The sequence below is a fragment of the Homo sapiens genome, chromosome 20 (genome assembly GCF_000001405.40).
Source record: "Homo sapiens chromosome 20, GRCh38.p14 Primary Assembly".
Lineage (NCBI taxonomy): Eukaryota > Metazoa > Chordata > Mammalia > Primates > Hominidae > Homo > Homo sapiens.
In genome coordinates, this window is record NC_000020.11 from 63875293 (window position 1) to 63901436 (window position 26144).

The following is a 26144-nucleotide window of genomic DNA, read 5'->3' on the forward strand; positions in this document are numbered from 1 at the left end:
TCTGAATTTGGGGAGTGCTGCTTTCTCACTTGGCCCTGTCCACGTGGCTTCTCTGAAACATACCCTTCAAGGTTGGGGTGGCTGTGGAATGTTTCCCAGAAGACATGTTCCTATACAAAGACAGAACAGGTCACATTTCATAAATCTCACATATGAGAGGCCCATGTTTTTGTCCTAGGACATCGTAAGTTTTGAATCCCAAGGGTGTTTTGGAGCTGTGGGCTGTGCCCTTCCAGTCCCCCACAGCAGTGCTGTTGCCCAAGAATCTCCTAGCGAGAGACCAGGGGCTACTGCCAGGTGACAGAAAAGGGAACATCAGTTCCGCTATACCCACAGCTCACCTGGCGGCCTGGGGCCTGCACAGGGCCTGGTTGAGGCAGTGGACCCCATTTTTGGGCCGTCTGTGGAGTTGATGTTCCTGCCAGCTGGTCCCTCTCTGTCTTCCCTGGAACTTCACCTGCAGTTTGATGCCTGAGTTAAAATTGTTCTTCTAAATAATTCACTGTAGACTTTCTGTTTTTAGCTATGTGAAAACTTCTGAGAAACTTGGAGAGTGGAATGAGAAAGTGACCCAGTCAGACCTGTGAGTGCCTGTATCATCAGCACCTCCTCCTTCCTCCTCTCCGCCTCCTGACACTCAGTCGGGGAAGGGGGCTGTGCACACTTGGCACAAAGCTTGTTTTGGTATTTGCTGGCTATTTTTTCTTCCTATAACTTTTCTTCTCTCAGGTAAACTATCCTTTAAACTTTTGTGGAACAGGGAATAGTAGCTGAGAGAAACTCACTCAGCCACCTGACCACACTTAAAACTCCCCTCTGCCTGATATGCGTCCCTTATGTAAGAGGCCTGCACTGGTCCTGGCTGTATCTCTAACTAATAGAGCTCCTTGGCTTCCGGCAGTGCACAAGCTGGACAACACCACTTGGCCTGGGTTTGTTGGTGGCGAATTTTTGTTTGTTCTAACCCTAACCCTTTTCCCTGCTTAGCTCCAGCTGTTGGGTTCTCAGAATTCCTTTCCTCCTTTAGGGGTAGTTCTTGAGTGGAGGGCATGGTGTAGGATATGCTGGTGGAAATTTGAAATCCTCACGATCTGGGAGGCACTGCATTGTCAGAGCATCAGCCAGTGTGGATCAAGTGTGGATAGTTTTGTATGTGTGTGTCAGTGGTGTTGTTCAGAGTGACTCCTAATATTTGGAGATCCTTAAACTAGATAATAGCACTTCATTTACTTGTGCTCTGATCTGATTATAACGTCTTTAAACTGAGGAGGGGAATATTTTTAAATAGTCTCTGTGGGATTTTTTCATCTGTTATTTAGAAGGAAGCGCTGTAATCGTTGCCACAGAACATGGGCAGAAAGTCCTCCCATGTTGGTCTGAAAGGAAGCAGTTGCTGCCGAGCTTGTCTTGAAGGTCCTGGGGGACCAGGCTGGCACTGCGTGCACATGGAGCCTTTGCGTCTGGTGTCACGGTGGGAGGCTGGTGTCAGGAACCCCGGGCGGTTCTCGGCATGTTGCCCCGGGTATTCCAGGGACCCGGGTGGTTCGTGGGCATGGCTACAGCAGCCAGCTGTACATCTGGGTGCTCTGGGGACCCGGGCGGTTCACGGCATGTTGCCCTGGGTATTCCAGGGACCCGGGCGGTTTGTGGGCATGGCTACAGCAGCCAGCTGTACATCTGGGTGCTCTGGGGACCCGGGTGGTTCATGGCATGTTGCCCTGGGTTTTTTTTGTTTGTTTGGTTTTTTTTTTGAGACAACGTCTCGTTCTGTCTCCCAGGCTGGAGTGCAGTGGCGCCATCTGGGCTCACTGCAAGCTCCGCCTCCCGGGTTCACACCATTCTCCTGCCTCAGCCTCCCCAGTAGCTGGGACTACAGGCGCCCGCCACCACGCCCGGCTAATTTTTTCTATTTTTAGTAGAGACAGGATTTCACCATGTCAGCCAGGATGGTCTCAATCTCCTGACCTCGTGATCCGCCTGCCTCAGCCTCCCAAAGTGCTGGGACTACAGGCGCCCACCACCACGCCCGGCTAATTTTTTGTATTTTTAGTAGAGACAGGGTTTCATGGTGTTAGCCAGGATGGTTTCGATCTCCTGACCTCGTGATCCGCCCATCTCGGCCTCCCAAAGTGCTGGGATGACAGGCGTGACCCACTGCACCCGGCTTGAGCAGGGTGTTCTAGGGACCCTGGTGGGCTGTGTCTCGGGCTGTTGAACAGTGACTTTGCTGGGCAGCAGATGGTTCCTAGGTTGGGACAGTGACGGTCATCCTTGCAGTTTGGGCATCAGGCGGACGCACAGTGCAGACTCAGTCTGAAAATAGTCTTAGGAGACTTCAGTGCTGTTTTGTAAAACCAACTGACATAAAGCTGCCGGGATCCTATTTCAAATAAATAGTGTTTTAGAGAGCTTATTACAACACTCAGCGTCCCGACCCCTCTGGAGAAACCTGTGGCTCAGCATGGAAGCATATGGCCAGTGCATCACCTGGCCGAGGCCATTCCCCTGAGTTCTGTGGCGAGAGCTGTCAACTGACGGTTCCAGAGTGGAAGCGTTTCTGCCGGGAAGGCCCAGGCCGAGGGCGATGGTTTCTGCCGGGACGGCCCAGGCCGAGGGCGATGGTTTCTGGTGGGAAGGCCCAGGCCGAGGGCGATGGTTTCTGCCGGGACGGCCGAGGCCGAGGGCGGTGGTTTCTGCCGGGACGGCCCAGACGGAAGGGATGCGGCTTGGGAGGTGGGGCCTGAGGATGTGGCCATGGCGCGTGCTCTTCCTGGCTGGTGCCTCTCCTAGTCAGCTTCAGGAGATGGGCTGTAGATGTACCTCCACTGCCCAGAGCTCTGCAGGGGAAGGCAGTAAAAGCTCCCTGCATCCTGACCCACGTGTTTGTAGATCCTTTCAGCTATTGGCGCCCTGGAGGATGGACGGGAAGGAGAACGTGGCCGGTGGGTGGAGGATAGCACTGGTGCCTGGCCCCATGAGGCTGCAATGCGGCCACATTCTCAGTGGGTCATGTCTGAATGCGAGAGCAGCTGTGTTCTGCGAGTGGTGAAACAATTGCCTGTTGCATTCTATTTATAGGCAGAGGTAACTAAAAACCTCAGTGCTGAGAGGGGCATCATATAGATCCTGCAGTTATGAGCTGGTTCACTTGGAGTTGTTTTGGTTGCAGGTGACAGAAAGCACGACTCAAGGTAGCATCAACCAAACAGGGAGGTGGGAGCACTCACCAGGCAGAGAAGTCCCTGCCCCCACTGCTGCAGCCCAACAGTGTGGCCCCATATGGGTCTCCCTGGACTAATGGCTGCGGCCTTGGAGGTGGTGTGCTCTGGCCAGGCCTGGATCACTTGTCCATCCTGAGTGGGAGTGGGGGCAGCCCCCAGAGACAGACTCAGGAGAGGGGGAGTGCAAGGATGTCCCCCAGATGCCCTGTGCTGCCCAGGGGACAGCTCACTGGCAGTGGGACGAAACCGCTGTCTGTCCAGGGCTCTCTTCCTAGAAGGTCTTAGGAACTCCCAAATGGGTGCTGGCTGGGGTTGCCCGGCCCGGTGCTCTCAAGGAGAGCTGAAGCTAGTTATTGGGTGCAGATGCTGGCTCTGACCCCTGCCCCTTCCTCCCGGGCTCAGCTTCCCCATCTGTCATGGAGTAATAACAACCCAGCCTTCTGGTCCACTGAGGAATGTGTGTGCCTGTGTGTTTGACGCTCTCAGAACAGGCCTGCAGCGCTGTGAGCCTTGGAAGGGGGCCTCACAGCTGCTGCCGCCACCTTGGAGGCCCAGGATGGGACTGAGAAGGGGAAGGGAGAGGTCAGAGCCACAGCTGTTGGGCAGGGACCTGCTGTAGGAAGAGAAGGCCAGGGAGGCGCTGGTGGTGGCCTCAGGCTATGCAGGTGATGCCCATTGTTTCCAGGGCCATCCCAGTTTGGAGGTTCCTGTTTCTAGAGGAGGTTCCCTTGTGACCCCCTCATTTCCACACCCGAGCAATGCTGAGGGCTGTGGGGCCCCCAGGGGCTTGAGTGTGGTTTATGGCACAGCAGGGACTGATCACAGTGGCACCGGGTGTCAGTGGCCAGTGGTCAGTGGCCAGGAACCCTCAGGACCCTCCTCCTTGTGTGGGTGGCATTTACCCACCCACAGGTCACGCTCAGGACCCGCATCTCATTCCGATCCTCCTTGTGTGGGTGGTACTTACCCACCCACAGGTCACGCTCAGGACCCCACATCTCATTCTGAAGGCCGGGCACAGGCGGTTGTTTTCTCTCCAACTTCGGTTTCCCCATCCCCACTCTTAGGGCACAAATGCAGGTGTAGCTTCCCCATGCCCACTCTTTAGGCACAAATGCAGGTGTAGCTTCCCCATCCCCACTCTTAGGGCACAAATGCAGGTGCAGCTTCCCCATCCCCACTCTTAGGGCACAAATGCAGGTGCAGCTTCCCCATCCCCACTCTTTAGGCACAAATGCAGGTGCAGCTTTCCCATCCCCACTCTTAGGGCACAAATGCAGGTGCAGCTTTCCCATCCCCACTCTTAGGGCACAAATGCAGGTGCAGCTTCCCCATCCCCACTCTTAGGGCACAAATGCAGGTGCAGCTTCCCCATCCCCACTCTTAGGGCACAAATGCAGGTGCAGCTTCCCCATCCCCACTCTTTAGGCACAAATGCAGGTGCAGCTTCCCCATCCCCACTCTTTAGGCACAAATGCAGGTGCAGCTTCCCCATCCCCACTCTTAGGGCACAAATGCAGGTGCAGCTTCCCCATCCCCACTCTTTAGGCACAAATGCAGGTGCAGCTTCCCCATCCCCACTCTTTAGGCACAAATGCAGGTGCAGCTTTCCCATCCCCACTCTTAGGGCACAAATGCAGGTGCAGCTTCCCCATCCCCACTCTTTAGGCACAAATGCAGGTGCAGCTTCCCCATCCCCACTCTTAGGGCACAAATGCAGGTGCAGCTTCCCCATCCCCACTCTTAGGGCACAAATGCAGGTGCAGCTTCCCCATCCCCACTCTTTAGGCACAAATGCAGGTGCAGCTTCCCCATCCCCACTCTTAGGGCACAAATGCAGGTGCAGCTTCCCCATCCCCACTCTTTAGGCACAAATGCAGGTGCAGCTTCCCCATCCCCACTCTTAGGGCACAAATGCAGGTGCAGCTTCCCCATCCCCACTCTTTAGGCACAAATGCAGGTGCTGTGAGCGCTTTAGAATCCTCTGCTGCAGGTGACTTTGCTTCAGCGAACCACAGAATGTTCACATGGTTTTATGCATTTGTTATTTCAGGGAAAATCAAGGTTAAAGATGTCTTCAGAATTTGTATTTTTGGGCTGGGCACGGTGGCTCACACCTGTAATCCCAACACTTTTGGAGGCTGAGGCAGGCGGATCACGAGGTCAGGAGATCGAGACCATCCTGGCTAACACGGTGAAACTCCGTCTGTACCAAAAATACAAAAAAATTAGCCGGATGTGGTGGCGGGCGCCTGTAGTCCCAGCTACTCGGGAGGCTGAGGCAGGAGAATGGCGTGCACCCGTGAGGCAGAGCTTGCAGTGAGCCGAGATGGTGCTGCTGCACTCCAGCCTGGGCTACAGAGCAAGACTCTGTCTCAAAAAAAAAAAAAAAAGAATTTGTGTTTTTGAAACTAAATATAGCAGGTCATTAGTTACTTATAACTGGTGTTTTATTAATAAAAGAAGAAAAAATTTAAAAACAGCCATGATTCCAGCTGCACGGAGCCTGGATGGGAAAGTGCATCCTCTGGGCTGAGCACGGTGGCTCACACCTGTCATCCGAGCGGGCTGGGCGCAGTGGCTCACACCTGTCATCCCAGCACTGCGGGAGGCCGAGGCGGGTGGATCACCTGAGGTCAGGAGTTCAAGACCAGCCTGGCCAACATGGTGAAACGCTATCTGTACTAAAAAGACAAATTTAGCAGGGCGTGGTGGTGGGTGCCTGTAATCCCAGCTACTTGGGACGCTGAGGCAGGAGAATCTCTTGAACCCGGAGGCGGAGGTTGTAGTGAGCTGAAATTGCACCACTGCCCCCCAGCCTGAGTGACAGAGCGAGACTTTGTCTCAAAAAAAAAAAAAAGAAAGAAAGTGCATCCTCTGGTAGGCCTTGGGCCGGGGGCGGGCATGAGAGAGCTGCGCTGGGATGCGCTGCCAGGGCACACTTGGTGGGTCACACACTCTTGTCAACTGTTTGGGGGCTGGAGAGTAGTAGCACTCAGCTCACACGGGCCTTCTGCAGGGAGTGGTGGGAGGGCCTGTGAGTAAGGGCTCCGGAAGGCCCATCATTGGGACCTGGTGCCGCCAGTGGGAGCAGGAGGAGCCTGTGCCTTCTCTGGCGCCAGTCATCCCAGATGCCACTCAGGGCTTGGCTGGGTTTGCCAGCTCTCCAGGTTGGCACTGGTAACGCCAAGATGGTCCTGGGAGCCCATCTCCATTCAGCCTCGAGTTCCCTGGCTTCACTGAGGGAGGAGCCGTGATAAGGTGGCTGTGGGTTCGCATTTTGGACTTTGTTATGTCAGAGTCTGCTGTGTTTTGTGTTTATGGTGGCAGCTGGATGAGGGCCAGCGACTTCAGGTGTTGACTGTCATGGTGGGCCCAACAGTATCCCTGCAGCCACAGCATCCTGCCTGCTGCCCTTTGCCTGTCCTGCAGACGCCAAGGCCCTAGAGCTTTGCTTTGATGGGATGTACCCATGTGGGTGGACACTGGAGGGAGCTGGAGGGGATAGAAGCGGGGCCTTCACTAGGGGCCAGGACAGACCCTTGCACTGTGAAAAGAGGCCTGGGAATGGAACTGTCCGATGTTCTGAAGGCACACGGGGCCCCGCCGTCTGGAGCAGGGGCACCTTGCGGGCTGCATGGCCACTCTGTGACGCTCGTTCCCCACAGACGTGGTTGAGCTTGCATTTTCTCCCCTCAGCACAGTCTCATTTGGGAAGAGGAAAGGGAAACTTGCACGCATGGGCCGGTCAGGGCACTGAGAGGCCTTTCTGCTCTGGCACTGCCTGCCAGGCGTGCACCTCAGGGGGCCCGTCCGCTCTAGCAGGCAAATGGGGCGTGTTCTCTGTAGTCAGAGGGGCTGTGAGAAGACAGGAAAGCGAGCTTAGTGGGTATCAGGCAAGGGGGTGAAATTGGGTTGTGAGATGAGAAAGCAGCGTCATTGCAGGGCTGGGGGGCCGAGACTCGGCAGGGTCGCCGAGAGCTCAGTGAGCGAGCAATGCACAGGCGGCTCCTCGCCGCAGGGGCCTCTGGGGGCCGAGGGGCTCTGGGCCTGCACCCCCTCTGTAGACACCTGGCGAGTGTCCACCCCTTGGCCCAGCTCCTTTCCTCAGTTTTCCTCGGGCGTGCTCCCAGTGCTTTGTTTGCTTGGCTGTGGGTGGTGACCCGCCCATGCTGTCTGGTTGATTTAACTGGTGTGTCTTCCAGCTACAAGAAGACTCAGGAAACTCTTTCACAGGCAGGACAGAAGACTTCAGCTGCCCTGTCCACAGTGGGCTCTGCCATCAGCAGGAAGCTTGGAGACATGAGGTGAGACGCAACCCTGACTCTGCTGCCCTGAGACCTGGCCAGGAGTGAGGTGAGGTGTTGGAGGTGCTACAGGAAGCCTGCCTGGAGATCAGGGCTCAGATGCACTGGCTCAGGGATGTGGCCATCCATCATGGCCCCGACCAGTCTGTGTGCAGACCCTTGCCTGGGAGGTTCGTCCATCCCCGTTGGCTGCTTTTCTGCCGTTGCTGTGTTCTTCAGGGAGGGTTGGCTGCCAGTGCTGTTGGGTAACTTGTGGTGCTCGGGGTTGGTGAGGGAGGAGTCTGCACCTTGAAGCTTCACTGAGTGGCAGCGACTCCAGCCCAGGGGTCAGAGTCAGGTCAGTGTGGGACGGCAGTCCTCCACCATCTCTAGGACAGGGGCTCGGCGTGGTACTTCCTCAGGCTGTTTCCCAGGTCTCAGAAAGTGCAGTCAGACGCCAGGAGGCCCTGAATGAGCCTTCTCTCCCAGAGGCTGGTGAAAGCCTCCTGGCCATCAGAGGTCCCTCAGCAAGCAGGGCTGGGGCCAAGGAGTGAGCAGGGGGCCGGCGCTTTGTGGCTGGCATGTTTGCTCTTCCTTCCCTGTTCTAGGCTCCCTGACTACAGCATGGTGATGAGGGGATTGAGCCAGAAGCCTGGGTATGATGCTTGGCTGGGCTACCTCCTGGCTGGGCACCCCAGCTGGGCCTCAGGCACGCCTTCTTTCACAGGGGTTGTAGGAGTGGATGATATAGGTTGTCACCATCAACAGCATCCTGGCCCCAACTTCTGGGTGCTGCTGCCCACCCTGCCCTGACCCCTTTCCCATTCTCAGAACTGGTCTTCTGGCTTTTGGATCTCAGGGAGTGCCTCCCTGTAGCTCTGACCCAATCCTGGCAAAGATGGGTGCAGGCTTCCTAAAGGACCGGTGTGTGGAGCACAGTGCTGACCCCACCCAGCCCTCCCCTCTTCCCCTCTTGTGGCCCCTGCAGGATTCAGAGATACGTACATCTCCTGCTGGGCTGCCTGCCTGCCTGCCTGCCTGCCTCCCTGCCTGCCTGCCTTAGGTTAGGTGTGTCCTGCCTCCCCGCCTGTGGTTGCCAGGTGGGGGTCGTCCTGCGCCAGTGCTTTCCCCTGACCACTAAGCCACAGGCCAGGACACAGACGGCCACACACACCCAGGGACCCACCCTGCCAAGCAGAGGGGATGGCCACTGCCCAGGAGCTGTGCCCACTTTTATTTTTGTTTTTTTGAGGTAATCTACCTTCCCATCCCTGCAACTTCTATTTCGAGAAGTTTTAAACCTCTGGAGAAGCTGCAGTCATCAGTATGCAATGTGTGTGTTTCCTCTGTGCACCCTCACACGCCCAAGGCTCCACACTCCCCAGCAGCTGTGACTTGGGGGGGTCCTTGTGGGGCACCCTACAAATGCAGGTCTTCCCTACCACTGCTGAGCTTTGGACCCAGGAGGGACCCCCTGAGTTTCAGCTGAACTCAGCCTCGCAGGGCTGTTTTCTTCCCGAAAATGCTGGTCTCACCACAGAGCATCTTCAGGAAGTAACAGGTGTTTGTTGTGCCTAAATTATGCCGGCCATCAGGAGGCGTTTGCCCACTCTTAGTGTCCACACTCCCTTTTGAGTTTGTTCAGACCATTGTGGTGGAAATCCAAGGGGCACGTGGAGCCCTTGGCACTGATTGGAATAGCCGTGCACAAGCCAGTCCTAGGGTTTTGATCTGGGCATTTGTTTGTATGGCCTGTTTTTCTCTGGAAGCACAGGGACACGGTCCTGGTTCTCTGTCTGCTCCTCCTTCTCTGATGGGGAGAAAGGCTTTCGCTCTCTGCTCAGTCCTGGGGTTGGCAGCTGACCCGTGTCGTGTAGCCTCAGGGCATGGCTGGCAGTGAGCAGAGTTCCTGTTGCAGTGACGCTGGCACAGCTGTCAGTGTGCCCAGCCACACTGTGCCACGTGTTTGCACGTGTGCCCTGGTACATGGGGCCAGCTGGGGGAGCGGGGCCTCAGGCTGACCTGGGACGAGCCAGCTCGCTCCAGTTGGCTGGCCGTGTTCACGGTGCCCGTGGAGGGTCCTGTTTGCTGGTGTGTCTTGCCCTGCTTGCTCCTCCATTTATGTTTGTAGTGGTGGTGGGAACTCTGACGTCTGGAGCCCCTGGTGTATCCCCATCATCTCCCCAAGCAGTCACAGGTGGTTTCTGAGGTCTGGGCCCATTCACCTCGAGTTAGAGACTGAGGTTGAGAGCTCACTACTTCCTGAAAGTGAAAATTGGGTTCTGGGAGGTTTATGTCATGAGTTTAGGGCTGGATGAACCCCGGCGGACCCCTGCTAACTCTTGGGCGGAAGCCCCTCTGGACAGCTGCCCAACGCCCGTGTCCATGATGGGCCTGTCCCAGGGCAGCCCCGGTCTGTGAGGCCTTTGGTGTGCCCTGGGGCATGGGTGATGGGGATGGGAGGAAGGGAACTGGATTCAGGTCAGAGTGGGGGTTTACAGCAGGGTCAGGTCACCGTCTGACTCCGTGGTCTCAGATGAGGCATCGGCCCTCTCAGGACCTCGGGCGAGTTGAGTGTTTCTCAGTTCTTCAGTGGCTCCCTCCATGTCAGAGTGGGCCTGGCTGCAGTGAGTGGCAGCAGCTGCCCTTGGACACACAGGTTTCCAGGTTGGCGTCTGTGGGCACGGATGGAGCGCAGAGCAGAAATGCTCGGCGCCAAGGGTGTCCCACATCCTCCCACGGTGCGTGTGCTCCCTCAGCTGACGTGATTTGGGGAACACGGGCCGCTCTCGTTCTGTGGAGCTGGCCAAGCCCAGCTGTCATGCTGTGGCACATTTCACACCTTTGCGCTGCTGGATGGGGCTGGTTGTGCTCCAGGTGCTGTGGCTTCTCCAAACAGGTGTGCCTTGGGGCATAAGGCGTGGACAGGGCGTGGACCCAGGGGCCTCTTGGGCACAGCCGTGAGGCTGAGCAGTTGCTAGTCATGATCTTGCGAGAGCCTCCTGTTGAGTCAGGACTTGAGGAGACTGGAGACAGTGCTGCTGTCCCCGGTGGTGTGCGGACTGGAGGAGCCGTCCTGGAGGGTCTTCCCCTGCTGGGCCTGACTGAGCACGAGCAGGGGGCCTCCCCTGGGGCTCCCCGAGGAGGGCTGTGAGTGGGTGCTGGCCTCCCTTGCTTACACTTCGTTTCCTCTTCTCTCCTGCTGCCACCTTCCAGGGCTCATCCATTTTCACACTCCTTTAGGTAAGGCTGAGCCTGGACACACCTGTGGAAGACTTTTCTCTGAATTGGGGCAGGGTGGACTCCGGCAGGGCCCTTGGGCGGCTGTGCTAGTAGAGGGCAGTGAAAGTGGGATCACCCCTTCCAGGACAGCAGTGCCAGCCAGGTGGTTGCTGCATCTCAGGGAACAAAGCAGCAGCGTGGGATCGACGCAGAGGCCCCCCGGAACCCCCCGGCCCTTCTGTGTCCCCTCCTCGTGCTTCCCTTCAGGCTCACAGACCGCCTGCTGCCGGGTCTGTGAATAACTGGCCTGGCGTCCAGGCCTGAGTTTACTCCTGAAAAGGAGCTTTTTTTTTTTTTTAGACGGAGTCTTGCTCTGTCGCCCAGGTTGGAGTGCCGTGGCGCGATCTCGGCTCACTGCAAGCTCCGCCTCCCGGGTTCACGCCATTCTCCTGCCTCAGCCTCTCCGAGTAGCTGGGACTACAGGCGCCCGCCGCCACGCCCGGCTAATTTTTTGTATTTTTAGTAGAGACGGGGTTTCACCGTGGTCTCGATCTCCCGACCTCGTGATCCGCCCGCCTCGGCCTCCCAAAGTGCTGGGATTACAAGCGTGAGCCACCGCGCCCGGCCTTTTTTTTCTTTTTTTTGTTGGAGTCTCGCTCTATCACCAGGCTGGAGCACAGTGGTGTGATCTCGGCTCACTGCAACCTCCAGCTCCCTGGTTCAAGCGGTTCTCCTGCCTCAGGCTCCTGAGTAGCTGGGATTACAGGCATGAGCCACCACGCCTGGCTAATTTTTGTATTTTTAGTAGAGACGGGGTTTCACCATGTTGGCCAGCATGGTCTCGATCTCCTGACCTCGTGATCCACCCGCCTTGGCCTCCCAAAGTGCTGGGATTACAGGCGTGAGCCACTGCGCCGGGCCCTCAAAGGAGCCTTTTCACGTGGGAGGGCTGTGCCGACTCTCACCACCTTCCTGTTCAACATCTGTCCTGTTTCCTTGTTTTCCTTCAGATGGAGTTTTGTCTTGTTTACTACCCGAGAGCCCATAGGTGTGCCTCCCAAAGGGCCCTCCTGCAGACCAGAGCAAGCTCCTCTAGGCCAAGCCGGGGCGCCGCCAGCACGTGCCCTTCTGCTGGAACCGGGAGGTCTAGAGCCAGGCCCAGAACAATCTGTGATTTCTTGTGTTTTTACTTGACTTGGTGGTTTCTCTTTTGCCAAAAGGTCCTTACTTGACTTCTGAAGGCTGTTTGTACCAAATACTTTTCAAAAGCCCAAGCCTGGTCTCCTCACAGCTTCCTATGGCAGTGCTCTCCCCCCTCCCAGTGCTATGCGCTGGGCAACTTGGGGTGCCCCCCATGAGGCCAAGGGAGGACCCTGGGGTCGAGTTTCCTTCGGGGGCATTGTGTGGAGGGGCAGGCAGCTCGCTCCAACTGCTGGGAGTGGGGGAATCCCAGCTCTGCCCATCCCTGCCAAGTTGGGGTTGTGTGTGGATCTTGGTGTTAACTCTTGCTTCCTTCTCTGCTTCTGCCATGCTTCCAAGCAGCAGCTACTCCATCCGCCACTCAATAAGTATGCCAGCCATGAGGTAATGTATGCCTGCTCGCTGCGGCTCCAGAGCCGGGTGTCTCTGGTGGGGGTTGGGGCAGCTCCCGCCGGTTACACCTTGCCCTTCCCATATTCCTGGATTAATTGAGGACTCCATTCCCTTGGCAACCTCTGATGACTAAGGGCCGGTAAAAACCCCCTCTAGGCTGACGAGGAAGAGCTGGTAGGGGGTCAGGCTCTTCACCTGCAGCCTCCAGAGGAGATCCTTGTGTCAAACTGGGCCGTGTCCTTTCCAAGTCCTGACCCTGGCTGCCTGCAGTGGGTGGGGTGGGGTTCGAGGGGCTCGCACACAGATCCTGGCACTTGCCCTGGTGGGCTGTCACTCAGGACACTTCACGGTCTCAGCCTTCACGGAAACACCCAGAGCTGTGGTCCTTATTCTGTGCCTGTCAGGCACCACCCTGATTCTCAGGATTCTGTGCCTGTGCCGTGAGGCACTGCCCTGATTCTCAGGAGAGCCCAGAACTGTGGTCCCTATTCTGTGCCTGCGCCGTCAGGCACCGCCCTGATTCTCAGGAGAGCCCTGTTCTCCTTGTGGGGACTCTGGCTGGGTGTCGCAGACGTGCTGGCCTCTAGAGTCCCCGGGCCTGGGAGGGGTATCTGTTTGTGTGGGAGGGACTGAGTGGGATGGAGCTGGCCTGCTTTCTCCTCTTGTCTCCTTATCACTCTGCTGTCCCAGAAGTGTCCTTGGTCTTCCGTTTGCTTCTCTGAGAGATGTGCATGAAGAACTGCACAGACTTTTCATAACTTCAGTACGAGAGCCCAGGGTGTCCCTGTAGGGGACAGCAGAGAGGGGCCGACAGCCCCCCAACTGCGCAGACTTTTCATAACCTCAGTACGAGAGCCCAGGGTGTCCCTGTAGGGGATAGCAGAGAGGGGCCGACAGCCCCCCAACTGCACAGACTTTTCATAACCTCAATACGAGAGCCCGGGGTATCCCTGTAGGGGACAGCAGAGAGGGGCCGACAGCCCCCCAACTGCGCAGACTTTTCATAACCTCAGTACGAGAGCCCAGGGTGTCCCTGTAGGGGATAGCAGAGAGGGGCCGACAGCCCCCCAACTGCACAGACTTTTCATAACCTCAGTACGAGAGCCCGGGGTATCCCTGTAGGGGACAGCAGAGAGGGGCCGACAGCCCCCCAACTGCGCAGACTTTTCATAACCTCAGTACGAGAGCCCGGGGTGTCCCTGTAGGGGACAGCAGAGAGGGGCCGACAGCCCCCCAACTGCACAGACTTTTCATAACCTCAGTACGAGAGCCCGGGATGTCCCTGTAGGGTATGACAGAGAGGGGCCGACATCTCCCCAGCTGCACAGTCAAGGGGTTTCCAGTTGCCTTGTGTGACGTCTGGACCTGTCCCTGTGGTTGTTGGGCATGGCCGACCTCACTTTTGACCTGGGGAGTCTCCGGAATGACCTGGCTGTCTCACAGTTTTGCCATGAGATCTTGGGATGTTGTTAGGGACCCTTTGGAGGCTGGCCCTAACCCTGAGGCCCTTCCGAGTTAGGAGAGCAGCACAACCCTCTCCTCTTGACACCGACACTCTTCCCTCTCTCTTTAAAGGAACTCTGCGACCTTCAAGTCGTTTGAGGACCGAGTTGGGACCATAAAGGTAATTGTACCTGGACTGTTTGATGGTCTTGGCAAGGTGTGACCTGTTACAGCAACTTGTTTATTATTAGTCATTTAGTTATGGTAGACTCACATACAGTTGTGGGAAGTAATGCAGAGAGGTTCCTTGTGCCTTTTACACAGTTCTCTCCTGTGACGACATCTTGGAAAATCCTGTAGTGCAGCCTCCCCACCAGGACATTGGCACTGACTCAGGACACAGAACGCCTCCACACTGCCCTTCCTGGTCCCCACTGCCCTTCCTGGTCCCCACTGCCCTTCCTGGTACCTTCTTGGCCATGCTGACCTTCCTCCCGCCCTACCCCCGGCAACCCCTAGTCCACTCTCCCTTTGTATAATTGTGTCATTTCAAGAATGTCACGTAAATGGAACGATACAGTGTGCAGCTTTTTGGCATTCACTGTCTTCATTTGGCATCGTTCTCTGGAGACCTGTTGGGGCTGGTGCCCGTCCGTGATTTGCTCCCTGTCCCTGCTGAGCAGTGTTCGTGTTACATAAGCTTTTGTAGAGCATTGAGCATGGGCCTGGGATCTGCCTTGTGTTGTGTGCTCTGTCTCAGGTTTTTCTGTCTTCATCTTTTCTCTCCTGTAGTCTAAGGTTGTGGGTGACAGAGAGAACGGCAGTGACAACCTCCCTTCCTCAGCGGGGAGTGGTGACAAGCCCCTGTCGGATCCCGCACCTTTCTAAGCCTGTGGTTGCTTCACCCGCTGCAGAGCACACGCAACCCAGCCTCAGCATCACAGCCGCAGCTCTGTTCAGCGGAGCAGCCAGCCAGGGCGGATGAGCAGAGCCGGCCCTGAGGACAGTCCTGCCCATCCACGCGGAGATGTGGCTGCCGCGTTTGCATGAATTTGAAGAACACAGGCTTGTACACAGATGTTTTACACTCACGTTTGTAGATGAAACAGATCACTGTGCTGTCCTTCCTAGGGGTGCAGGAAGTGGACAGGGCGGAGGGTTTGAAAGAATATTGAGCCAAAGCCCAGGCTCCCTTTGGGAATCATGTTAGCCCATCAGAATGTTGAAGGATTGAAGAGTTCTAAGCATAAAATAAGTGGCATTTTCTGACTTCTTCCTCCTCCTCCTTCCCTGACTCACAGAAGGAATGCAATCACCCAGCAAGTCCTACCTGTTACGCAATTTTTTATCTCAAAATGCCGAACGAGAAAACTGTCCATTTTCTGAGACCCCCAGAAAGGAAACTGACCCTCAGCAGCTGCCTGATTGTTACGCGAATCTAGCTTTAACGGAAGCAAATTCATTATTTTTTAAATGCAGTGGACTTTTCAAAAAGTTTAAATTAGGCAAAGCAGCTTTAGCCTCATAGAATATTATTTCTTTGGACTCAAGCTGAAATACAAGCCTTACATTGCCTTATGCTTTATTTCTTTCTAATTTTTATATGTATATAGATGAGGGTTCCTTAATGGTTGTGAGCATTGTGTGGAATTTTACACCTGGCCTGCGTGGCAGCCTCTTCCAGTTGAGGTGTTTTATGTCACGCACACTCCATCCCAGTGTACAAAACCTGCTTCTCTTCTCAACCGTGGCAGCTCCCGCTGGCTCCTATGCCCTGCCCTAAAGGGCTCTTGAGCCTCTGGGAATGGGAGGGGCCAAGAGAAGGAAAACCCTGTCTTTAGCACCCTTTAAAAGAACTGTGCCCCCCTTCTCAGTGCTGCCTTTGCATGGGCCTGGCCCGGCTCACATTCGTCAGTGACTCCAACCCTCCTGCTTGCTGTACTTGGGATGAAACGACCCCACAGGTCAGGTGGAGGGTGGGGCGTGGGCATCAGCCAGGATTGCCGTTACAGTCTTTTTCTCAGGAGCTACAAAGATCTCTTCCTGTTACTAAATAGTCGCACCCCAGCAGCCTCTCTCGCACACCGGGGCCCTGCATGTCAGATGGCGTGGTCTGCAGGGGGAGCTCTGTGCCTTAGTGGCTCTTGGCAGGACACTGAGGGCCTGCCTGTGGTGTGCCCGGCTCTGCCACTCCCGGGAGGGGAAGGGCTGCTCAGCTCAAGGTGTCCTGTTCGGTAGAGCAAGTGTCCTCTGACAGCCGTGTCCCCGGACAGTTCAGACACCCTTGGGGATGGCACTCCACACACGACAGAGATGCAGGGGCCAGGGAAGCCCAGCGCTCGGTGCCCTTCGTCCAGGGTTAAAATCGGCCTGTGGGGTGTGGTGAGAAGGCAGGTTGTGCGGGTGTTGACCGATGTATCTTTTCCTTAAAGTTATTATAATAATGGGTAATTTGTCAATAAAGCATTCCTTTGGGGGAAAGTCCGCCTCGGCTTGTGTGATGTATCGTTCGGGACCATGATAAGAGTGGTAAATGAACTGGCACACGGTACCTGCCCTAATGAGTCCGCACCCTTGGGAGAGGCAGGCAGGGGACAGTGCTAAAGACAAAGGGCAGGTCCTCAATGCTGGGACAAGGGGAGCCAGCTGTGAGGGGAGAATGGTATATGGCCAACCTGTGAGGTCAGACCCAGCGTCTTGGGAAGAGGAGTTGAAACTGAGCCCCAGGAGGCGGAGGAGGAGCTCACCAGGCTCCAGGTTGGGCCGGGAGCTCCAGAGGCTTCGCCAGCTGCCCCTGCAAGCACTGAGCTGCTGCTGAGCACACCTGTAGTCCCCGCCATTCTGGAGGGTGAGGCAGATCACCTGAGCCCAGGAGTTCAGGACCAGCCTGGGCAGCATACCGGGATTCCATCTCAACTAAAAACAGTAGGCTGGGTGTGGTGGCTCATGTCTGTAAGCTCAGGACTTTGGAAGGCCAAGATGGGAGGATCACTTGAGCCTGGGAGTTTGACACCAGCTTGAGCATCGTAGCCAGGCCCTGACTCTACAAAAAAGTGAAATAATTAGCCGAGTGTGGTGGTTCACACCTGTAATCCCAGCTGCTCAGGAGGCTGAGGTAGGAGAATCATTTGAACCCGGGAGGTGGAGGTTGCAGTTAGCCGAGATCACGCCATTGCACTCCGGCCTGGGCGATAAAGCGAGACTCTGTCTCAAAAAAAAAAAAAAAAAAGAAAAAGAAAAAGGAAAAGACCCTTGAGGGGGAACCTCCACTCTGCCCCTGGTCTGGCGCTTTGCATGTATCCATTCCTAGTCTTTGGAGTTCCCACTGGAAAACTAGTGGGAGCACCAGTCTTCCTTTGGAGGTCAGAGGTAGCTGGGCTCACCCCAGATGTAAGAGCAGGGAAAGTTAGGTGACCTCGAATTGTATGGTACATAAGCCCCAATACAGCAGGGAGCTGGTACCAATAAAGGGTGAAATGCACTATTGCCGCCTGCAGTCAAGATTTACACTAATTTATTTTGGAATGAGTTCATGTGTTCTTCATTTATTGAACAGATACTGTAACTGCCCTGCGGGTAAGAGTCTGCTAGGTTTTGTGGGGTACAAGGGTGAATCTGATGTGGACCCAGTGCTCAAGGACTTTGCAACCCGTTTGTTGGGGAAGACAGATTCCCCTAAGTCACTGGCTTGTGTTTGACGAGGTGAAGCGCTTGGAGAGCTTCGAGGATGGAGCAAGTGGAGTAAGTGGACCTGAGGAGCGGGCAGCAATGCCTGAAGGCTCAGTCCCCTCTTCTCAGAGTGAGGGTAATGGTATCTGCCTCATCATATTGAAAGGCTTAACCTTATAAAGCACTTAGCACAGGGCCTGATGTATCAGAGGTAAACATCAGACTCTTCCCAACTGTAGCCACTGTCAACTTTCCTGTCTTCTTTTTTTTTTTTGAGACAGGGTCTCACTCTGTCGCTCAGGCTGGAGTGCAGTGGTGCAATCTCAGCTCACTGCAACCTCCACCTCCTGGGCTCAAGCGATGCTCCTGCCTCAGCCTCGCGAGCAGATGGGATTTACAGGGGCATGCCACCACGCCCAGCTAATTTTTGTATTTTTAGTAGAGACAGGGTTTTGCCATGTTGGCCAGGCTGGTCTTGAACGCCTGACCTCAGGTGATCCGCCCACCCCGGCCTCCCAAAGTGCTGGGATTACAGGTGTGAGCCACTGTGCCCGGGCGTACCTTCCTGTCTTATTTTCTCCAAGCAGGCTGGAATGTTCATGGATAGATATATGTGTGATAATATACTTTTTACATATCATGCATCGTGCTCATTTTAGTTTCAGGAGTTCTTTGCTCCTGTGTAGCCTTTCTACACATTATCTTTCTTTTTTTCTTCTTTTTAAATAAGAGATGGGGTCTTGCTCTGTCACCCAGGCAGGAATGCAGTGGCACAATCATGGCTCACTACAGCCTTGACTTCCCACCCGATCCAGCCTCCTGAGTAGCTGGGACTACAGGGGCATGCATGCCACTGTGGCCGGGCCAATTAAAAAAATTTTTTTTTATAGAGATGGTGGTCTCACTATGTTGTCCAGGCAGGTCTCAAACTCCTGGGCTCCAGTGATCTTCCTGCCTTGGTCTACCAAAGTGCTGAGATTCCAGGCGTGAGCCATGGGTCCCGTTGTATACATTTCAGTAACTATATTATTCCATTTGAGTGCTCACTTGTGCAGTTGGGCAGGTTTCCATTCTCGCTATTAAAAATAGTGCCTTCATGAATATTTCAGTGCATATACCTTTTTCTGTATTTAGGAATATTTTCTTTGGAAGAATGTCCCTAAAGTGGAACTGCTAGGTCTCAGAGGGACTCACTTAAGGCTGGTTCATTCATTCTTGCAGCTCCCAGCACAAGTGGAATATAGCTTCAATCTGAGATCGGTACCAGGCCCATTTCATTCTCTCATCCCTCCAATTCTGGCCTGAAATATTTCATTCTCTTGGAATCTATAGTTGTAGATATGAACCTGGCCTTTCTGCTTCTTGGGTTCCATAGGCCTTTTCTTGCTGCCTGCTTGATGTTGCGCAGCTTAATGACTGCTAGGAGGCTTCCCAAGCTCTGACACTTCCAGGCTGTGAGACTGGAACAAGCTTGGCAATTCAAGACCGGCATTATGGCAGTGAGTTATGAGGGCAGAGGAAGGAGGCCAGAGCGTGTTGAGAGAGAATTTGGGTTTCACGCAGTGTGTCACGGGAAGCCTTGGATGCTACTGGGTTTGTTTTAAAAAGATGACCGCACTGAACTCAGGTAAACGGGCAAGGGTGGAAGCGAGGAGGCAGGAGCACCGGCCGCAGAGGTCTGGGAGCTTCTAGGATGGGAAGTGGCCCAGGCAGCCTACGCGGGGCAGGCCGTCAGTGAGTGGCGGAGCGCCTGCAGTTACAGGGACAGGGAAGGGTGGCCGACGGGATGGGCAAGGGCAGAGGGAGGTGGAGTGGACGTTCGTGGTCCTGCCTCTCCACGCTGCTGTTTGGAGATGATTCCGGGAGGGTGGGAGGGCGCTGGCGACGGCATTTCAGTGGTTGGACAGGAAGGAAGGAAGGACGTCCCATCTCGGCGCTCCAGGGTTGAGCAAATGTCAGTCCCAGGACGGTGGCTCCGGGTGGGGGCGGGGGCGACGGTCCGCAGCCGTCTCCCACCAGCTCCCTGTTCAGTTCTTTGATGAGAACGATTACGTTTTCTCAGTCTTACTTAAAGCGCTGAGTAAACTCACCTGCAAGACCAGCAAGCCCTGCGCTTCTCTTTCTGCGCGGTTCCCCGCAGCACATGGCGTGTCCACCCGGGACCCACCTGCGGCCACCTGAAGACTGGGAGGACTGGCTCCGCCCCCGCGCTTCGTCCCCGCCCACTCATGGGCGGAGCCTCCACAGGGCGCCTCGGCCCCGGGCTGTCACTCGGGACTCCGCCCCTTCATGGACGGAGCCTCCGCTCGGCTCTCTGAGCGCATGCGCAGCCGGTCCCACCCGCGGCTCCGACACGCCGGAGCCCACGTCCTTCCGGGAGCGCGCGCGCCGGTGCGGGTGCGTGCGTGAGCGTGCTCGTCTCCGCTGCCGCTGCCGCTGCCGCTGCCGGTGCCGCACCCGCGCCCTCTGCCGCCGCCGCCGCCGCCGCCCGGGGTCTCCAGGCTGAGGAGTGCGTCGGCCGCTGCCCAGCAGCGCCGCGAATCGGGGAGCGGAGCCGCGGAGCCGGCGGGAGGGCGGGCGGGCGGGCGGACGGGCAGGTGAGCTCGCTGCGGGTCGGGCGGGCGGATCGGCCCACGTCAGGCCCGGGCAGGCGGGCGGGCGGGCGCGGGTGGGGGGCGGGGGCGGCACTCCAGAGCCGGAAATGGCGGCGACCCCCGGGCCGGGGCTGCGCGGGCGCTCGGGGCCGGAGCTGCTGCGACGCCGCGGCCTGGGCCGGGGCGGGGGCGCGGGAAGGTCGGCGCCGGGGCCTGCGGGAGCCGGGCCGGGCCGGGCCGGGGGTCTGAGCACCGTGGTGGGGGCTGGGGCGGCGCTCTCCGCGGGTCTCTTCGGGCCCGGACGCCCCCTCCGCTCCCCCAGGTCCCCGCGGCCGCCCCCAACCCCCCGGGGTCTCCTCTCCTGCGGGGGGACTGGAGAAGCTGGGCCATCGCTGGTCTTAGGGAGGCAGATAATTTAGTCCCTGGGTCGTTGTGTTTATAGCTCGGGGAATTGAAAATTGTTCTGTAACGCATCGTAAATTAATCTTTCCGACGTTGTAAATTCCAAAAAGCATTTGGTTTGTTAGAAAAAACCTGTTTTCTCCGCTTTATAAAAACATTTGAAGCCATGCTTTATATTGAACTCTTAAGGAGAGTATTAGGAACTCGTCCGTTCAGGTTCTAACTTGTTGGTGTTAAGTGTCTGGATTAAAGACTCTCTTTTTCGTGTGCCGAAGCCATGATTTCTCAAATTCATTCAGTTGTGTCATACAGGAAAAGGAAGCAAAAATTTCAGCTTTATTTTTGTTTTCCGGCTTAGGCTTGGTTGGGAAGATTTGATGGTGGTTAGACACGTCTGCCCTTATTTGCCTGTTTAGAAAAACCTATTCTAATGACAAAAACAGTTACATTGCTCCCACTATTGTCATGGTTACCTGAAGGCAAAAGTTTACTCAAAGCTTCTGAGATTTTATGTTCGTTTATTTGCTTCTCTTTTTAAAAAAATGTCAGCTGAGTTTCAGGAATGAGTAGTCTGTCAAACAAGAGATGAAATTAGAAGCCTGGATCTAAGGGCTTTGGGGAAGTTTCGGTTGAGTTCCCCTTTCACTTGTGTCGGTGCTGTAGGACTCGGGGTGGCTCCAGCTGGCGTCTGGCCCAGCAGAGAGCTGTAGGGGCCCGCTCTGGTTGCTGGCTGTGTGGACTCTGAGGGACACCCCTGGCGAGGGTGTTAATGAGCCTGCAGCGTCTGAGTCCACCCACCCTCAGACTGGCCCCTGACTCACTCTGCACCTGCCATATCAGCCTCCTTGCTAGTTCTGAACAGAGCCACATGCTCTGTCCTTGGATCTTCCTGGAATGCCTGGTTCCTTAACCCCCTAGCCTGGCGACTGCCTGCCTGCCTTGCCACCCAGTTCCCTTCCTCGCTTAATTTTCCCACAGCGCTGAATCCTCCTAGTGTCCTGCTTAATGCATTTATCATACTTAATATTTTACTGTGAGTTAGTAAGGTCCGTGGAGAGAATGTTTTGTGAAAAAAACAGTTGCTGGCACATGATCGGGGCCCAGTAAATATTTGTTCAGTGAATGAACGTGAGGAGCTTAGCAGCAGCTGTGCGTGGTGCTGGCCTTGTCACCCGGAAGTCCTTGTCGGTGAGGACTGAGCATGTAGAGGTAAGGGTTCCTGGAGTGTTGGCCCTCAGGACAGAGAGCCACCATCTCTCACCTGCCCAATGAGGAAAGACAGCCAGGTAAGGGGTGGCTTGGAAGGGTGCATGGGACCCTTGTAAATCTTTTCGCAACTTTGAATCTATAATTATTTTGAAGTTAAAACGTTTCTAAAAAGTCAGATCTGTTGGGGGCACAGTGGCTCATGCCTGTAATCTCAGCACTTTAGGAGGCTGAGGCGGACGGATCACTTGGAGTCAGGAGTTCGAGACTAGCCTGGCCAACATGGTGAAACCCCATCTCTACTAAAAATACAAAATTAGCTGGGTGTGGTGGCGTGTGCCTGTAATCCCAGCTACTAGGGAGGCTGAGGCAGGAGAATCACTTGAACCCAGGAGGCGGAGGTTGCAGTGAGCCGAGATCGCGCCACTGCACTCCAGCCTGGGCAAAAAGAGCAAAACTCCATCTTATAAAAAAAATAAAAATAAAAATTAGCTGGTTGTGGTGGTGGGCGTCCGTAATCCCAGCTACTCAGGAGGCTGAGGCAGGAGAATCCCTTGAACCTGGGAGGTGGAGGTTGCAGTGAGCAAAGGTCACGCCACACTGCACTCCAGCCTGGGTGGTAGAGCAAGACTCAGTCTCAAATAAATAAAAATAAATAAAAAGTCAGATCTGCCAGTGGTAATAATGCTTTTAGAAATTTTGTCTTTGATTACCAGGAAAAACCCTACATGCTAGTCCTTATACTCCGTCGTGACATTTGGTAATTAAGTAGAGTGAGGTGGAATGATCTCCCTGGCTCTTAATTCAGGAGGACTGCCTGAGAGTGACTGTGGCTGATCCCCTTAGCATGAGGCCCTTCAGCTGTGGTGCTGTGACAGAGCCACAGAGGCTGCTTGGTGACTTGCAGACTCTGGAGTCCTTTCCACAGCCTCCACCTCATGCCTACATTAACTCAGAGTGAGTGGGCTTCAGGGCCTTCCTGCATCCCTGAAGATGGTTGTATTAACGTGGTTCAGAGATTGAACAGACGCTGCACGTTTCTCAGGCATTTTTCCTCAGTTCCCCTTGCTTGGAGGGTGGATACCACTGAGCCTGGTTGTACAGCTGCCTCCGTGACCAGCACCTTTGCCCAAGGTCTCCCTGTTAACAATCGTCAGAGCTGGAACTTGAACTCGAGTCTTCTCTAGACCAGGTTTCTTCTAAGTATTTGGCATCACCAGGAAGAGCCCTGTACAAGGTGCTGGTGGTTTTATCCTTAGAGCCCAGATGTGAGGTGCTCACGTGTGTGCCTGGGGTTAGCAGTTGGTGTTTGTTGAATGAATGACTAAAATGCAGTGGGGCGGGGAGTCATGATAAGGTAGAATTTTATCTGAGGTGGAGTTTGCTTCTGAAATCAGGCAGTAAGGTGAATGTGATACCCAGTTAGGAGTATGTAATGCTGCAGGTAAACTGTAACAGCAAATGAAAGCAGTATTTCTCCAGGAAGGAAACAGACCCCTGGGTCCTCGGGCTGGGTTGGAAAAAGCCATTTGTAGAGAAATGGAACATGGTGGCTAGCCCTGCACAAGACATAGAGAAGAGACCCTTAACACTCCAGTTATCTCCAAGTGGGCAGTTAGAATGAGTGCTTCTAGGCCGGGCACGGTGGCTCACACCAGTAATCCCAGCACTTTGGGAGGCCGAGGCGGGCAGATCTTGAGATCGAGAGATCGAGACCATCCTGGCCAACATGGTGAAACCCTGTCTCTACTAAAAATACAAAAATAGCTGGGTGTGGTGGCGGGCACCTGTAATTCCAGCTACTAGGGAGGCTGAGGCAGGAGAATTGCTTGAACCCGGGAGGCAGAGGTTGCAGTGAGCTGAGATAGCACCACTGCACTCCAGCCTGGGCGACAGAGCGAGACTCCCTCTCACAACAAACAAACAAACAAACTGCAGTGCTTCTAAGGTGAGACTCATCGTGATGTTCTGATTAGAACGTTCTCGTGCCACAAAGTCCTGAGATGTGTCCAAGAAGCACCGTCTTCTGTCAGACACACCTCCTGCCCCGCCATAGGCCTTCCCACTGTGGCAGCAGAATCTGTGCTAGGCCTTCCTTCGTGAAAGAGGACAAGATCAGGGCTCACGTGACTGGGGCCGCTGTGACTCTGAGCCTCTGCGTTCTGTCAGATGAGGGTAGTGGTGCTTCCCCTGCGTCCTGCTGGGAGAAAAAAGGAGGCAGTAAATGAAAGGTGTCTCATCACCTGCTTCCTAAATAGAAGGGACAAAGAGGCTGAAAAACAGTAATAGTCTTGTTTTATGAAAATGCCACCCCTAATCTAGGAGCTGGGACTGCCATGCCAGGACCCCTCAGATAATGACATCCCTGAAGAGGATTAGCAGCTAGTCTGTTATCAGTCACAGGCAGTTCAACCCAGAAGATTTAAGGATTAGATTACCCAACAACCTTGAGTGTAGATTTTGTCTCTCATCACCCTTTGCATTAACTTTGGGTGCATGTGTGTTAATGAGGAAGTGTGTTCTGCTTTATTCTTGGTACATCACAGACATTTAATAGATACAGGTCATTAGAAATAAAAATTGTTTTAACTTGTATGAGTTTTGCAAGCATTGATATTTCAAATTGAAATTGCAGAAATTAGGACAGCATTTCATTTTCTTTTGTTTTTTTGAGACGGAGTCTCATTCTCTCACCCAGGCTGGAGTGCGGTGGCGTGACCTTGGCTCACTGCAACCTCTGCCTCCTGGGTTCAAGTGATTCTTCTGCCTCAGCCTCCCGAGTAGCTGGGACTACAGGCGGTCGCCACCACGCCAGGCTAATTTTTTGTATTTTTAGTAGAGACAGGGTTTCGCGGTGTTAGCCAGGATGGTCTCGATCTCCTGACCTTGTGATCCGCCCATCTTGGCCTCCCAAAGTGCTGGGATTGCAGGTGTGAGCCACTGCGCCTGGGCTTTTTTTTTTTTTTTTTTTTGGTTGGGGGACGGAGTCTCACTCTGTCACCCAGGCTTGAGTACAACGGTACGGTTTCCGCTCATGGCAACCTCTGCCTCCTAGGTTCAAGTGATTCTCCTGCCTCAGCCTCCTGGGTTGCTGGGATTACAGGCGCCTGCCATGACACCCGGCTAATTTTTGTATTTTTAGTAGAGATGGGGTTTTGCCATGTTGGCCAGGCTGGTCTTGAACTCCTGACCTCAGGTGATCCACCCACTTTGGCCTCCCAAAGTGCTGGGATTATAGGCGTGAGCCACTGAGCCCAGCCCCAAGTTGGTCTTGAGCTCCTGGACTCAAGTGATCGTCCAACCAGCATCTCATTTTCTAAAGAAAGAAGTACTTAGACCAGGTTTGGGACATGTCTCTGAAAATTCTGGGCTGGTGCAGTGGCTCATGCCTGTAATCCCAGCACTTTGAGAGGCCGAGGCAGGCGGATTGCTAGAGTCCAGAAGTGAAGACCAGGCTGGGCAACATAGCAAAACCCCATCTGTACTAAAACTAGAAACAATTAGCCGGGTATGGTGACATGCAGCTGTAGTCCCAGCTACTCGGAGGCTGAGGTGGTAGGATCACCTGAGCCTGGGAGGCTGAGGCTGCAGCAAGCCATGATTGCTCCACTGCACTCCAGCCTGGGCGACAGAGCAAGACACTGTCTCAAAAAAAAAAAAAAAAAAAAAAAGGAAGTTCTGTATTGATCAATAATTTCCTCCTCAGGACAGACCTGCATATGCCACAATTTAACTTTGTTGCAACATCATTCTACATTTTGCATGAATGGTTTCAAAAAACTTATTTCTATGACAGAGAACTTTGTCATTTATTCTTGACATATTAAACCTGAGTGACATTTTTAAATTTTTGTGTTGTGTTGTGAGTGCTTAGTGAAGATTCCTTGAATATGGATGTGAATGAATCTTATTTTTCATGGGTTTATAATTGTATTGTCCCTTTAAATATTCTACATTGAACATGTATCACCAGCAGAAATAATCATTTACGAGGTGAAGTGTCCAGAGCCATGTAGTGTCTGCATTGCTGTGTCCAGGGATTCTTTGTTTGTTTGAGACGGAGTCTCGCTCTGTCATCCAGGCTGGAGTGCAGTGGCACGATCGTGTCTCACTGCCGCTTCCACCTCCCGGGTTCAAGTGATTCTTCTGCCTCAGCCTCTTGAGTAACTGGAATTACAGGCGTGTGCCACCACGCCCAGCTAATTTTTGTATTTTTAGTAGAGATGGGGTTTCACCATGTTGTCCAGGCTGGTCTCAAACTCCTGAACTCAAGTAATCAACCCACCTTGGCCTCCCAAGGTGCTGGGTTTACAGGCATGAGCCACTGTGCTCAATCTGCGTTCTGAGGCATTCTGTGCCTGTTATGAAATCATGATGCTGGCAGGTCGGAAGATGGAATCGACTTCCCAGCCCCATCGGCTGTGCCCTGCCCTCCTTGCTGTCTCTAGAGCGCGGCTGACTTCGGGGAGAGCTCTCCCTGCCCTGTGCCTCTATTTTTTCACCAGGTA

The 26144-nt window shown here is 54.6% G+C and overlaps 2 protein-coding genes across 13 annotated transcripts in view, besides 9 other annotated features; both read left to right on the forward strand.

Moving 5' to 3' along the window:
- The window catches only part of TPD52L2 (TPD52 like 2), a 26269-nt gene extending 10023 nt beyond the window's left edge, over positions 1–16246 (forward strand). For 2 of the 11 annotated variants that reach the window (NM_003288.4, NM_001243891.2), the window contains exons 4-7: positions 524–583; positions 7427–7528; positions 13898–13946; positions 14558–16246. In NM_003288.4, the coding sequence (NP_003279.2) occupies positions 524–583; positions 7427–7528; positions 13898–13946; positions 14558–14653 (307 nt within the window). In that variant the 3' untranslated portion in view covers positions 14654–16246. Of the gene's footprint in view, positions 1–523; positions 584–7426; positions 7529–10723; positions 10751–12271; positions 12314–13897; positions 13947–14557 lie in introns of all 11 variants that reach the window. The other 9 variants (NM_199359.3, NM_001243892.2, NM_199360.3 and 6 more) reach the window with 8 other exon arrangements.
- Positions 2877–3046: an enhancer, noted in NCBI's record as "experimental_61287 CRE fragment used in MPRA reporter constructs". NCBI's record gives its function as "activates a minimal promoter by MPRAs in K562 erythroleukemia cells, with activity observed for both the introgressed and non-introgressed 20:62509607 variant alleles {active_cell/tissue: K562}" and the evidence as "EXISTENCE:reporter gene assay evidence [ECO:0000049][PMID:34662402]".
- Positions 5638–5807: an enhancer, noted in NCBI's record as "experimental_61295 CRE fragment used in MPRA reporter constructs". NCBI's record gives its function as "activates a minimal promoter by MPRAs in K562 erythroleukemia cells, with activity observed for both the introgressed and non-introgressed 20:62512368 variant alleles {active_cell/tissue: K562}" and the evidence as "EXISTENCE:reporter gene assay evidence [ECO:0000049][PMID:34662402]".
- Positions 6349–6518: an enhancer, noted in NCBI's record as "experimental_61302 CRE fragment used in MPRA reporter constructs". NCBI's record gives its function as "activates a minimal promoter by MPRAs in K562 erythroleukemia cells, with activity observed for both the introgressed and non-introgressed 20:62513079 variant alleles {active_cell/tissue: K562}" and the evidence as "EXISTENCE:reporter gene assay evidence [ECO:0000049][PMID:34662402]".
- Positions 10940–11110: a silencer, noted in NCBI's record as "fragment chr20:62517585-62517755 (GRCh37/hg19 assembly coordinates)". NCBI's record gives its function as "represses an EF-1alpha promoter that drives an FKBP-Casp9 reporter gene in an ReSE screen in K562 erythroleukemia cells {active_cell/tissue: K562}" and the evidence as "EXISTENCE:reporter gene assay evidence [ECO:0000049][PMID:32094911]".
- Positions 19047–19216: an enhancer, noted in NCBI's record as "experimental_61338 CRE fragment used in MPRA reporter constructs". NCBI's record gives its function as "activates a minimal promoter by MPRAs in K562 erythroleukemia cells, with activity observed for both the introgressed and non-introgressed 20:62525777 or rs73151756 variant alleles {active_cell/tissue: K562}" and the evidence as "EXISTENCE:reporter gene assay evidence [ECO:0000049][PMID:34662402]".
- Positions 19047–19676: a biological region, named in NCBI's record as "H3K4me1 hESC enhancer GRCh37_chr20:62525794-62526321".
- Position 19132: a transcriptional cis regulatory region, noted in NCBI's record as "Neanderthal adaptively introgressed variant 20:62525777 (GRCh37/hg19 assembly coordinates) or rs73151756 in the experimental_61338 CRE". NCBI's record gives its function as "modulates activity of the experimental_61338 enhancer by MPRAs in K562 erythroleukemia cells {active_cell/tissue: K562}" and the evidence as "EXISTENCE:reporter gene assay evidence [ECO:0000049][PMID:34662402]".
- Positions 19149–19676: an enhancer, noted in NCBI's record as "H3K4me1 hESC enhancer chr20:62525794-62526321 (GRCh37/hg19 assembly coordinates)". NCBI's record gives its function as "activates a minimal SCP1, AML or CMV promoter by ChIP-STARR-seq in naive H9 embryonic stem cells {active_cell/tissue: H9 hESC(naive)}" and the evidence as "EXISTENCE:reporter gene assay evidence [ECO:0000049][PMID:30033119]".
- Positions 19676–19915: a silencer, noted in NCBI's record as "silent region_13191". NCBI's record gives its function as "represses an Ori minimal core promoter by ATAC-STARR-seq in GM12878 lymphoblastoid cells {active_cell/tissue: GM12878}" and the evidence as "EXISTENCE:reporter gene assay evidence [ECO:0000049][PMID:35858748]".
- Positions 19834–26144, forward strand: part of DNAJC5 (DnaJ heat shock protein family (Hsp40) member C5) — a 40886-nt gene continuing 34575 nt past the window's right edge. The window contains exon 1 of one of the 2 annotated variants that reach the window (XM_047440509.1): positions 19834–21716. The gene's annotated coding sequence lies outside the window, so the exon portion shown is untranslated. The remainder of the gene's footprint in view (positions 21717–26144) is intronic. The other variant, NM_025219.3, reaches the window with a different exon arrangement.